The sequence below is a fragment of the Homo sapiens genome, chromosome 4 (genome assembly GCF_000001405.40).
Source record: "Homo sapiens chromosome 4, GRCh38.p14 Primary Assembly".
Classification (NCBI taxonomy): domain Eukaryota; kingdom Metazoa; phylum Chordata; class Mammalia; order Primates; family Hominidae; genus Homo; species Homo sapiens.
In genome coordinates this window covers 179,453,206-179,467,790 of record NC_000004.12, presented here as the reverse complement: position 1 = coordinate 179,467,790, position 14,585 = coordinate 179,453,206, and the positions used below count along the sequence as shown (strand labels likewise).

At 34.4% G+C, this 14,585-nt stretch overlaps 3 annotated features.

Annotated features, from left to right (window-relative positions):
- Window positions 1,742-2,330: an enhancer, noted in NCBI's record as "OCT4-NANOG-H3K27ac hESC enhancer chr4:180386615-180387203 (GRCh37/hg19 assembly coordinates)". NCBI's record gives its function as "activates a minimal SCP1, AML or CMV promoter by ChIP-STARR-seq in primed H9 embryonic stem cells {active_cell/tissue: H9 hESC(primed)}" and the evidence as "EXISTENCE:reporter gene assay evidence [ECO:0000049][PMID:30033119]".
- Window positions 1,742-2,997: a biological region, named in NCBI's record as "MED14-independent group 3 enhancer GRCh37_chr4:180385948-180387147".
- Window positions 1,798-2,997: an enhancer, noted in NCBI's record as "MED14-independent group 3 enhancer chr4:180385948-180387147 (GRCh37/hg19 assembly coordinates)". NCBI's record gives its function as "activates an origin of replication core promoter dependent on BRD2, BRD4, P300/CBP and CDK7 cofactors, and independent of MED14, by STARR-seq in HCT116 cells {active_cell/tissue: HCT116}" and the evidence as "EXISTENCE:reporter gene assay evidence [ECO:0000049][PMID:35650434]".

Here is a 14,585-nt window from a genome sequence, read left to right as displayed (position 1 = left end):
GATATTCTTTCTGCAACAAAGTGCTCTAACCTCAGGAACACAGCTGCTTCTTTCCAGTGAAATCTGTATTTTCAATCATAGAGACAGCTTCACCTTGATTTAACTGTAGTCTTTGGTATACTTTCTGATTTGCTAATCAAAACCAAGTAGTATATATTTAGTTAAGTGATTGAAATTCTGTAACAAATATTGGAAGCGTAGATAACCAGACAATTCTTAAAACCCATGTTAGTGAAGAATATGATAGTGCTTGAGTCACTGGACTCCATAATGAAATAACAAATATATATGAAATATTTAGCATTCTGGCTCTTTTCTCTGAAGTCCAATAGCATTCAGAGCCCTTGATGATTGACTTCTACTATCTTGTTTTACTATTTATTCTTTCATATATATTTACAAGCTCATCTAATCTCTTTGGGGGAAATAAACAAGCATATTATTTATGCCCCTTATGCTTTGCAAATGCTATGGTAGGTACTAAAATGTTTCCTCCCTCCCTCCCTTCCTTCTTTCTTTCCTTTCTTTTCTTTCATCTTTCTTACATGAATTTATTAACTACCTCTTCAGAACCCCAGTGAGTCAGGCACTGTGCACAGGGTAATTATCCTAATAATACAATGGTTTGAGAAGCTTTGTAACTCTATGTCACCTCTGTATTTACTGTGGACATCTGAGATTACTACGCAGATCCAAACATATTTGCAATCCCTTAAAAGAGAAATACACATACACACGGCAGACAACTCCGATATGGTCATAAAAGCTCACCACTGATATCAAAAATATGTCCAATAAGTGAGAAAATGTATTTCAAGTTATACACAACTGGTGGCTAACTGCATGATAAGTAGTAATAAGCAACATTTATTTTTGTTTCTTTTTATTTAGATTTTTCTTTTTTGGAACAGAAGCACATAATCTGTGAGTAGCTTTGATGGTGAGAATTGAGAGTAAATATCACACACAGAAAAATACAAATGCTTTATTTAAGGCAGATTCAAATCTATTCTAATTCACCTCCTATGGCAGACAGCATCATGACTCTCACACAGAATTTTAAGAAAAGTCTAACCGGTTCAGAAGAGTAATACTTAAGAGGTCAATTGAGCCATATTGTGCTTGACTAGGCACAGTAAACAAATAAGCAAACAAACAACAACAACAAAAAAGAACATAATTTACAAGAAAAAGTAATGGCTAGTGCTCTTATTTTTTTAAATACTGACTTTTTAGATAAAAATTTTGATAAAATTAGAGTCAGAGAAGTGACATCTTAGCATATATAATGGATATTATGAAATAAGATTTTGGCAATGATTATAGCATATTGATTCATTGTGAAAGAGTTATAAAAAGGACTATGTTTATGGATATCTTGCCTTATTGCAGTCAACATTTGGATTGAAAAATGTTAAATCACGTTTTTCATGTGCCTGAATTCAATCATAACGGATGCATAGAATCACTTTTGCTGAATGTCACCATCAGTTTAAATAACAATATAATATAAAAAACAGTGAAGAATGCTGGAGCTGTTTTATTTTGATTTCTGTTCCTGGGGCTCCTATTTCTTGGGCTTGTAGTATGCTCCAAGCCTTGTGCTCAGTGCTTTTCATGCCTCACCATCTTGAATCCTTTAATAAATCTATGAGATGGAATTTTTTATCCCAATTTTACGTGGAATCTCACAAAAACTGACATTTAGAGTTGTTTATTTTACCACACAATTTTCTTTATTGGCAAACTTGTGAGAAATTCTTCCATGGCCATAGTACCAGCAATAGGTATATTTGTCTTAGGAATCGGTATGTTTTTAATGATTAGCTATTTGTGTGAGAGGTTCAGTGTTTGTTGCATAGTTGTTAAAATGAGTGGAGCCAACACTGAAACAGTGTACCTATTATTTCAGAATTCCTATTTATTTTCATTTCATCTGAATATTCAGTCTCCATTTCAGCAAGTTCTTCAACTTACTTTTCTCCATTATTTTTACTTTAAGCTAGCTTTAAGGTATAACACAGTGTAACAAGGTAAACAAATGCATCTTATCCGATTTCATAAGTAAATGTATGAATATCAGATTTCTTTAGTGGCCTGAGTGGCCTTTTCTACTGTCTGGAAGGAGACTCTATTTAAAGTCTAAGCATTTAAAGACAAAGTATTGTGATTTAAATTAGCTTCACTTCCTCTGTGGTACGGTGAGTCAGCATTTTCCCTTCCTGGGTCTGATCACTCCCTGAGTAGGTAAGAGAAAGAAATATCTAAAAGGCCTAGGAATGTGGCAAACAATATAGCCTGTAAAACAGTGATTTCTTTGTACCGTCGGGACCACTGCTATGAAAACCGGCCTTAGAGGAAAAATGAGTTATTGTACTTTTACCTTAATCCACATCTTATTTTTGCTGAATTTGTCTTGACCCTTACTCTCCGGCATCCTAGCTCTATGATCTTGCTCAAGTTATTTCACCATTCTGGGCCTCAGATTTCTCTCTGGACGATGAAGAATAGTAGTACCTCATCACAGAGCTGCTGTCAGGACTAACAGGAGAAATCCCATATAATGTACCTAGAATATAGAAACCAGTCACTAAACGTAAGTGGTTGTCATCTTTATTGCTACTGCTATAATTATTAAGGAGTCTAGAGTTGTACCCCATCTTTAAAGGCATGATGGTGGATTTGTTCTCACTCTTCTGAGAGACAGCAGGTTTTCAGGAAGTCTGGGGGGAACACTTTCAGTATTCCTAATCAAGTTTCTATAAGGATACTATTTTGTTTTTAAACAATGAATTATAAATATTTGATTTATAAGGGCATTTATGCAAATCATGGAATTAGATACTCACTATGTACTGTTTGGCTGACTACACTGGATTTACTAGAATTCCACTGATTAATCCTCTCAACTTGAACGTACCATTTATGTAAAATGAGTACTCAAAATAATTGCAGTATTAGTAACGCAAATATGGGTTGCTTATTGATTTTCAGCTAAAGTTTGCAATCTCAATATATGGAGTTTTGGTTTGTTTTAATGACATTTTTCTTTGAAAGTAGATTTGGAGTGAAGCTCACTTAGCCTTCTATGATTTGTGTATTTGTCATTGCTGTTTGCCTTTTAGCTATAAACAACCGTGTGCATATCTGTACAGGAATTCACTTTTATTTCTCACTTTATTTTCCCTTAACAAACATGTGAAATGTTGCAAATTGTCAACAATACTAAACGTTTTATGTAAATTACCTATTTATTTATGTAAGTAATTTGATAATTTAAATCAGGTTTGAAAAAATCTATTTTCTATTTATAACAACATTTTTTAAATAAACATTTCACAAGTATTCTCTCACCAATTTAACAGTTTTGTAAGTTTAAATTTTAAAAAATCTGTCTTTTTTAATGTTAGGGAGAGTTGTAATATCTGTCAGTCGAACAGAGTCTAGAAAAAGAGAGTTCTGAGAAACAACACTAACTCTGGCAACAAAATTACTTATATGAGATGATTATTTTAAAGAAAAGTACATAGTAAAGAAGCAATTTTCTTCATTGAGGAAAAACTGATTTTTAAAAGAATGTTGACCCGAAGAACTTACCAGGAAGAAATAGCATAACTTGCTTTTCTTGTTACTGGAAGTTCAAATTACAGAGTGGAATTAGTCATTTGCTACATAAAAGATAAGCAGATCCCCCAACTTCTATCATTTATGGATTCTAGCTGGAGAGTAAATTTTGGTATGCTTAAAGAAACAAGTAATATTATTTATATGAGAAAATTCTTTCCAGTATATCAAACTAAGAGTTTCGATATTCAAAAGCATATTAATCAGATCATGAGTTTAAGAAAGCACTTATTTTTATACTATTTATAAAATGCTTATTTTTCAAATTTAGCAAAGCAAGTTTACATTCATTAATAAATGTCTGGTGAATGTATCTAATCATAGCTTATTTTTAATAAAATGTTAGCAATATGTTACACGAGAAAATAAAGGAATAATTGTCAAGCTACAAGGTATTGCTAATCTCCGGTGTAAACCATTATTTGTGTTTTTGCTACTTTGGTGGGAAGTGGGAAGTATCTGAAATTATGTGGCATAGAAATCCTGAGAACCTAATCCTTTTAGGAACATTAGATTTGTAATAGCAGTCTGATTGTTATCATCAGCCACGACATAAACAATATAGAGTAGATACCACAGTTTTCACTGACTTTTAAAATAAATTATTAATTTCATTCTTGCCTTACGTTCATGATAGAGTATTATTTTCCCAGTATCATGGATAGAAAAATTAACTTTCAGCAAGATTAAGTAATTTGCCAAAGTAATAGAAATAAACACCTTGGAAAGCTGAAATTTAAACTCAATTCACTGTGGCTCTGGAGTCTGTATATTTAATCAATACAGGTATTCTTTTTATTGCTTTACAAACCAGATGTTTTTAAAGAAACTCTGTTATAATATTAGTAAGTTCTAGAAGATATTGAAGGTATGGGAGTAGATTCATTAAATATATTAAAATCTCACACTATATTGACTTGGTGATAAAATAAACTTTATTACCATGAATGAAATAATGTTCCATGTTATATATATTTTGTTGTTTGTAAAGGGTAAGTGGAAACTTCCTTAAATATTATAGAATCAAATTAGTATTGAGTGCCATTTTAAAAATCAATACATTACTATATATCAATCAATCATTTCCTGCACTTCAGTACATAAGGGTCATCATCACCAAACTCTTTTAAACATATCTGTGAGTTTTTATAACTCTACCTATTTAGAGTGAATTTTAGGCAGGTCAAAATTAAAAATTTAATAAATACATTCTTTAACTCTTTTATTTTGAATATTTTCTCTTTATTCATTCACTATCATAATTAGTACAATAATTAAGATCAAACATTATTTACAACCTGTCTATTAAATTGTATCTTGAAGCATGTATGCTTTGTGATGTACTTTTCCATCTGAAATGCCATAAGGTAGAATGGAAGATTTGTATGCATAAATTAACACTTGACTGGTATGGAGTAAGCCATTTAATCCTACACCTCAAAACCACACTACTGTAACTGTCGTCTACAGTTCTGCATACTCCACTAGATAAAAAATCACCTGCAGGAATTTTTTCTTATGATTTGTAAAATATCTATAATACTGACTGGTCATCTGTTGATGTACCATAAATGCTTAGTAATTGAAACGAATGCATGTCTCCTATAACATTGGCAATACATAATATATCCTGTAAGTGAAACAGATTTTAAAACATTGGCAATGCATAATATAAATAAGTATATGAAAACACAAACTACTTTAAATAAAGCATTATTTTAGTTCATGGGTTACTGATTTTGGAAGAATATTGAACTAAAGTATTTTACTTGGAAGAAAGAAAAGAACTTGCTTTTGTCATTCCTGGAAGCACTAATCATGGGATAGAATCAGTTATTTACTGTATACAATTTTCCTATGAGATATAAAGGGATGCTGGGCAGGTGAAGATTTCATTGTCCAAAAGGCTATTTGTAAAGTAGTTAAAAAATCAGAATAAATATTGAGTTAAGATATTTATTTATTACACATAATAATATTCCACTTAATAAATTTTTATTGGTTCCTCGGACATTCCCAAAAGTCTATCATCACAATATAGCTGAAGTGATGTATTACAACATTTTGTTAGGTCAGTGTTTAGGGTATAGTAACAACTGCAATACAACTGCAAACTCTACTGTTTACGTATCACTTGAATAACATATGCTCACTGACCACCTACGAACTTTAGAAGATGTGATTGTTCATTTATCATGATGCATATCTGTTATTTATGTAGTGATGTGAAGACTGAAGAGCTAGCAGTAAAATTCTGATAATCAATAATACCATGACAACTCTAACGAACAATGTTGGTGAAGAGACCAGTGTTATTTTACTAGAGCATTGTTTCTAGACTGGCACCAACCAAGCTAACAAGGGAGAAATCTTCTTAGTAGCTAACAATCATAAACAAAACAGACTTTTTTTCATTAATATGAGTAGATGTAAACATAGAACTTGTAGTGAATACAGGCAGTTCATGCTTTGCACAGATATGGTAGTACTTAAAACTGTACAGGCAGAAACCACAGAGAGTGATCCTAATTATCAATGGAAAAATTCATGATTATTCTTGACTTTAAACATTTTTGTCAGATCATAAAAACTTCCCTTCCTCTAGGTTATAAAGGTATAGGAAAATGGGAAAATCATGAAAGTAATATTACAGAATGCACTGTGATTTAAGACATTAGAAGCGTAGAAAACTAAGTAGAGCATATTGTCATGTGCCTGTCGTCTTAGCCCAGGCAAGATAAGTGAGGCTTCATAAAAAAAAAAAAAAAAAAAAAAAAAAAAAATTATAGGGGACTGAAGTTGTTCTTTTGTATTTTTCTTTTTTTACTTTTTGCATAGAAACTTAAAAATAATTTGAACAATGCTTGCTTTTTTCTTTTCATCATAAAGATTATAAACAGAGTGAATCATTTCTATGCTTGATGAATTGTCATATCGCTTTCAAAGTATGGATCAGCTTCAAACTATCCTTTGCACTTTCAACATCATGAAATATTCCAGATCATTCCTTTAATGGGAAGGTTTTGCCAGTGTCACTTCCTCTGGTATGCCTTCATCCTTCTAGTTACAACCACTTTCTTCATTTATGTTGACCTCTGCCTCACTAAGTTTCTCTGGCCCCATATTCAGTGTCTCTTGAATGGCAGCAGGGCTAATATTCCAGGGTCAGGATTTTCTTCTATAACTCCACTTAAGTTCAATTCGAATTTTACTTCGAGCATTGTCATTTTGTTCCTTTTTTTTTTCATTTTTGTTGGTCAATTCATTCTTTTGATTATTCGTTTTTGTAAAATATCATGTGGGAGAAAAGGAGGTAATACAACTGCAAACTCCACTGTTTATGTATCACTTGAATAACATATGCTCACTGACCAATCGCTTTAAAAGATGTGATTGTTCATTTATCGTGATGCATATCTGTTATCTATGCAGTGATGTGAAGACTGAAGAGCTAGCAGTAAAATTCTGAGAGTCAATAATACCATGGCAACTCTAATTTGAACAATGTTGGTAAAGAGACCAGTGTTATCTTACTAGACCATTGCAACTGAAATTCATGCACACTCAAACCATCTAAAGCCAATACCATCTGTAGTTATTGTTTTAATATGTGAAAGCTACTCATTTGATATGTCAGTATCATATCCTGTTACTTTATTATTCATTTAATTATTGGTGAGTTTTCTCCTAGACACTTGTGAGCATTGGTTTTAAACTATTATATTATCTGCAGATAACAACAGCATCGATTTTAAACATTTCAATATTTTCTATTTTCTGATTATGCTGGTTAATTCCTTCAACAGAATACAAAACAGTGGTAAAGATAGTACCTTGTTCATCCCTAATTTAACAAGGATGCAAACAGTGTTTCCCCATTTAAAAACAGGTTGGCATAACATTTGCTAAGGAAAAATACATCAATTTACATATTATTATTGCTTTATCAGAAATGAGTGATTGTATTAATCTATTTTCATGCTGCTGATAAAGACATACCTGGGTCTGGGCAATTTACAAAAGAAAGTGGTTTATTGGACTTACAGCTCCACATGGCTGGGGAGGCCTCACAATCATGGTGGAAGGTGAAAGGCACGTCTCATATGGCAGCAGACAAGAGAAGGGAGCTTGTGCAGGGAAACTCCTCTTTTTAAAACCATCAGATCTCGTAAGACTTATTCACTATCACGAGAACAGCATGGGAAAGGCCCACCCCATAATTCAATTAGCTCCCATTGGGTCCCTCCCACAACACATGGAAATTCAAGATGAGATTTGGGTGAGGACACAGCCAAATCATATCATTCCACCCAGCCCCTCCCAAACATCATGTCCTCATATTTCAGAACCAATCATGCCTTCGCAATAGTCCCCCAAAGTCTTTACTTATTTCAGCATTAACCCACAATCCAAAGTCTCATTTGAGACAAGGCAAGTCCCTTCTGCCCATGAGCCTGTAAAATTAAAAGCAAGTTAGTTACTTCCTAGATACAATGGGGGCTCAGTTATTGGGTAAATATAGCTGTTCCAAATGGGAGAAATTGGCCAAAACAAAGGGTCCACAGCCCCCATGCAAGTCCAAAATCCAGCAGGCCAGTCAAATCTTAACGCTCCCAAATGATCTCCTTTGACTCCATGTCTCACATCTGGGTCACATTGATGCAAGAGGTGGGTTCCCATGGTCTTGGGAAGCTCTGCCCCTGTGGCTTTGCAGGGTATAGCCTTCTTCCCAGCTGCTTTCATGGGCTGGCATTGAGTGTCTGTGGCTTTTCCAGGTGCATGGTGCAAGCTGTCAGTGGATCTACCATTCTGGGGTCTGGAGAACAGTGGCTGCCTTCTCACAGCTCCTCTAGTTGGTGCCCCAGTAGGGACTGTGTGTGGGGGCTCTGACTCCACATTTCCCTTTTGCACTGACATAGCAGAAGTTGTCCATGAGGGCCCCATCCCTGCAGCAAACTTCTGCCTGGATAGGCATTTCCATACATTTTCTGAAACCTAGGTGGAGGTTCCCAAACCTCAGTTCTTGACTTCTGTGCCCCCATAGGCTCAACACCACATGGAAGCTGCCAAGGCTTGGGGCTTCCACCCTCTGAAGCCACAGTCCAAGCTCTATGTTGGCCTCTTTCAGCCATGGCTGGAGCAGCTGGGACACAGAGCACCAAGTCCTTAGGCTGCATACAGCATGGGGACCCTGAGCCAGGCTCATGAAATCACTTTTTTCTTCTAGGCCTCTGGGCCTGTGATGGGAGGGGCTGCCATAAAGACCTCTGACATGCCCTGGAGGCATGTTCCCCATTGTCTTGGGTATTAATATTCAGCTTCTTGTTACTAATGCAAATTTCTGCAGCCAGCTTGAATTTCTCTTCAGAAAATGGGATTTTCTTTTCTATTGCATTGTCAGGCTGCAAATTTTCCAAACTTCTAAGCTCTGCTTCCCTTATAAAAGTGAATGCCTTTAACAGCACCCAAGTCACCTCTTGAATGCTTTGATGCTTAGAAATTACTTCTCCTGGATACCCTAAATCATCTCTCTCAAGTTCAAAGTTCTACAAATCTCTAGGGCAGGGGCAAAATGCTGCCAGTCTCTTTGCTAAAACATAACAAGAGTCACCTTTGCTCCAGTTCCCAACAGGTTTCTCATTTCCATCTGAGACCACCTCAGCCTGGACTTTATTGTACGTATCACTATCAGCATTTTGGGCAAAGCAATTCAACAAGTCTCTGGGGGAGTTCCAGATTTTACTACATTTTCCTGTCTTCTTCTGAGCCCTCCAAACTGTTCCAACCTCTGCCTGTTACCCAGTTCCAAAGCTGGTTCCACATTTTCAGGTATCTTTTCAGCAGAATCTTACTCTACTGGTACCAATTTACCGTATTAGTCCGTTTTCATGCTGCTGATAAAAACATACCCGCGACTGGGCAATTTACAAAAGAAAGAGGTTTACTGGACTTACAGCTTCATGTGGCTAGTAAGGCCTCACGATCATGGTGAAAATTGAAAGGCATGTCTCACATGGCAGCAGACAAGAGAAGAGAGCTTGTGCAGGGGAACTCCCTTTTTTAAAACCATCAGATCCTGTGAGACTTATTCACTATCATGAGGACAGCATGGGAAAGACCCTCCTCCACGATTCCATTACCTCCCACTGGGTCCCTCCCACAACATGTACAAATTCAAGATGAGATTTGGGTGGGGACACAGCCAAAACATATCAGTGATAAATTTGTTAAGGGCCTTTTTAGCAATTAATGTGATCAAATAGCTTTTGTCCTTAGATATCTTCATGAAGTGAGTAATAGTAAATTGTAGTATGATATCAACCATCCTTGCATTCCAGGGAATTATAACATTTGGTTATGAGGTATTATTTTTTCACATGCTAATTTATTTGTTTTTGCTGATATTTATTTCAAATTTTTATTTTGATATTTCTTTTTTCTTCTTTTTTTATCTTTTTTATTTTCTTTATTTTATTTTATTTTATTATTATACTTTAAGTTTTAGGGTACATGTGTACAATGTGCAGGTTAGTTACATATGTATACATGTGCCATGCTGGTGTGCTGCACCCATTAACTCATCATTTAGCATTAGGTATATCTCCTAAAGCTATCCCTCCCCACTCCCCCCACCCCACAACAGTCCCCAGAGTGTGATGTTCCCCTTCCTGTGTCCATGTGTTCTCATTGTTCAATTCCCACCTATGAGTGAGAATATGCGGTGTTTGGTTTTTTGTTCTTGCGATAGTTTACTGAGAATGATGATTTCCAATTTCATCCATGTCCCTACAAAGGACAGGAACTCATCCTTTTCTATGGCTGCATAGTATTCCATGGTGTATATGTGCCACCTTTTCTTAATCCACTCTATCATTGTTGGACATTTGGGTTGGTTCCAAGTCTTTGCTATTGTGAATAGTGCCGCAATAAACATACGTGTGCATGTGTCTTTATAGCAGCATGATTTATAGTCCTTTGGGTATATACCCAGTAATGGGATGGCTGGGTCAAATGGTATTTCTAGTTCTAGATCCCTGAGGAATCACCACACTGACTTCCACAGAGGTTAAACTAGTTTACAGTCCCACCAACAGTGTAAAAGTGTTCCTATTTCTCCACATCCTCTCCAGCACCTGTTGTTTCCTGACTTTTTAATGATTGCCATTCTAACTGGTGTGAGATGGTATCTCATTGTGGTTTTGATTTGCATTTCTCTGATGGCCAGAGATCGTGACCATTTTTTCATGTGTTTTTTGGCTTCATAAATGTCTTCTTTTGAGAAGTGTCTGTTCGTGTCCTTCGCCCACTTTTTGATGGGGTTGTTTGTTTTTTTCTTGTAAATTTGTTTGAGTTCCTTGTAGATTCTGGATATTAGCCCTTTGTCAGATGAGTAGGTTGCGAAAATTTTCTCCCATTTTGTAGGTTGCCTGTTCACTCTGATGGTAGTTTCCTTTGCTGTGCAGAAGCTCTTGAGTTTAATTAGATCCCATTTGTCAATTTTGGCTTTTGCTGTCAATGCTTTTGATGTTTTAGACATGAACTCCTTGCCCATGCCTATGTCCTGAATGGTAATGCCTAGGTTTTCTTCTAGGGTTTTTATGGTTTTAGGTCTCACATTTAAGTCTTTAATCCATCTTGAATTAATTTTTGTGTAAGGTGTAAGGAAGGGATCCAGTTTCAGCTTTCTACATATGGCTAGCCAGTTTTCCCAGCACCATTTATTAAATAGGGAATCCTTTCCCCATTGCTTGTTTTTCTCAGGTTTGTCAAAGATCAGATAGTTGTAGATATGTGGCGTTATTTCTGAGGGCTCTGTTCTGTTCCATTGACCTATATCTCTATTTTGGTACATATTTCTAAAAAACATGTTCCTTTCAATTTCTGAAGCTGGGTCATTTTTGGGGAGGTGCTTTGAATTTTTTTTCTATATTGGTTATTGTCACTGGATTATTTAGACTTCCAGTCCTTCATAAGGTCATATTTTGTGAATTATTTTTGATACTATTATTCACAACATCTGGCCTTTCAAATTTATTTGCCTTAAATCCTACAAAGTAAAGTTATAATCTTTGCTTTCTTTCATTATCATTTTTTATAATTTGATAGTTATTCTTCTCTTTCTATTTCTCATATTTTATTGTATGTATCTGTCTTCATGTTTCTTCTCCTTTTCTGTTTTTTTTTTTTAGCTTTTGATTAAATTGGATAAGCTCACCTTTTAATTACACTTTTAAAATATATGCCTTAAGCACATTTATATTTATTCTTAAGACCAATTCATTTCATCCAGTTCTGCCATATTCTTTTATATTTCATTTACCAGGTAACATTCCTTGTTTCTTTTTGTTTCTTTTACTTTTAAAAAGTATTGTTGTTCAAGAGATTATTTTTAAACCAATACCTTTATAATTTATGAGTAGGCACAGGTTTCTGGATACTCTCTTTTGCTTTATTAGTAATAATTAAGTGGTATGTTTTCTTCTCCTCTTCTTCCTCCTTTCACAACCTTCTTTTATTAGTAATTAATACTGTTTTAATGTTAATCTTTCCATATCATAGCATCTACTACCAGTAGCTAATATTCTGGTCCAGCTGGTCTCATTCCAATTCTTCATAGATTCTCTCAGATTAAAGCATAATCAGTGTGAATTAAAAACTAGAAAATGCAATCTGTTTTTTGTTAGCATTAGAAACTAACATACTTTCCTTTACTTCATGAAGCACTTGTCAATTTTCTTCTCTGCCATCAGGTCTCCTGAAAATATTTATCCACTCACATAGAAATGGAAGTCTGCAGTCTTCTCTATCTCCTAGATATGCTAAAGTTGTTAATTATGGGAAATTTTAAAGTAGTTTTCTTGTTAAACTGTAAGGTTGCAGGTGAGTATGTGGAGAGATTCAAATTATAGTAGCTTGTGCTATCCCTCTCTCTTTTTTAGAGGAGTAAAGGTAGAATTTGTTCATGATGTATGCTATATATATCACTATGATTTACATTATATTGTAATGTTATCTTAAACACTTTTCCAAATAAGCTACTCAAGATAATCAGTTATCTTTGGACATGAATGGTGGCATTATTTGTTAGAAACAAGAAACTGCTACCACTTCCAACACTCTTTTGAAACTATGTTCTGAGTATATAATTCAAAAACATCTCAAAAAAAAAAAAACCAAAACAACTCAATAGCAACAACAACGAAACAAAAACAAGTTTATAAATACACCCATTGCTAATAGCACAACATCCATTCTCATGCACATTGCATATAGAAAATCAATATGCAAACCATTTTATGAGTATAAATACCAGCAATGTCTTCCTATATCAGGTGGGGCCTCATGAAGAGCCAGACAGAGAATAGAAACTCATTTTTTTGATAATATGATTCTGAAAGATTGACTCATGCTAAAAAAGGCTAAGTTCTAAAAGATTTGCTTATTTCATTTATAATGTACACAAAACTATATATTTTTTCCAGTATTTTGGAAATCCTACATGTCATTCTTAGAAAAATTAAATTAAAAAGCTGTGGTAATCATGGAACAAAGAATATAGATGAACTTCAAGACTACTTTAGGCTTTAGGAAAAGATTGAGAATTATATCTGTGCTTTTAATTCATGCTGCTCCGCAGAAGTCTATTCAAAGTTTTTTTTTTCCAGTGTTTTCATTGCGGTAAGATACATACAATGCAACTTTATCATTTTGGTCATGTTTAAGCTTATATTTCAATAGTATAGCATACATCAGCATTGTTGTGAAATCATCAATACACTGTATCTCCATAACTCTTTTCTTCTTGCAAAACTGAAACTCTATACTCATTAAACAATAATTTCCATTTTATCCTCCCTTTAGCCCCTGGAAGCTGCCATTCTACATTCTGTATCTATGATTTTGACTACTCTAAGTGTCTCACATAAGTAGAATCATACAGTATTTGTCTTTTTGTGACTACCTTATGTCACTTAGCCTTATGTCCTCAAATTTCAGCTGTGGTGTAAAAGATGTCCGAATTTTGTTTCCTTTGAAAAGCTGAATAATATTCTATTGTATGTATATTCCACATTTTGACAAAAACTCTGTTCCTTAAGCAGTTTTGTCCCATCCCTTTGTCATTAAGGTCACAGAGTTACATCCTTATACACCATGTGTTCAAATATGACTAATAATTTTAATGACTTAGTCCCTTAAATTATGCAGAAAACAAAAAGTAGAGTTATGCATTATTGTTATAATAATACTACCTTTTAATAATTGCCCACATATCTATATTTACCATTACTGAGATCTTTATTTCTTCATACTGCCTTGACTTACTGAATAGTGTCCCTGTATTTCAAATTGTAGGCCTGTTTTTAGCAATTTTTGAAAAACAGGGTATTGTGATAACCATCTCTCTTAGGTTTTGTTTATCTGAGGATGTCTTCATTTCTCCTTCACTTTAAAAAAACAGTTTTGCTAGATATAGAATTCTTAGTTGACAGTATTTTTTTTCTTTTAGAAATTTAAATGTACTGGTTCATTGCCTTCTGGCCTCCAAAGTTTCTAATGAAAAACCTGCTGATAATCTTATTAAGGATCCCAATCGTATTGTGATGAGTAGCTTCTCCTCTGCTACTTTTACATTTATCTCTTTGTCTTTTAATAGTTTGATTATAATATCTCTTGGTATGGGTCTCTTTAGGTTTACCCTAGTTGATGTTTATTCAGTTTCCTGAATGTCTATATGCATTTTTTTCCATCAATTTTGGCCATTATTTCTTGAATATTTTCTCCTCTTCTGTTTTTTACTCTTCTAACACATTGTGTAATTAGTTTGTTTGATGGTGTCCCACAGGTCTGTAAATTTCTGTTCATTTTTTTCTTTAATCTTATTACTTTCCATTTCTCAGATTTAATAATTTCCATTGTCCTATCTTTAAGTTGCTGATTATTTCTTTCACCTGCTCAATTCA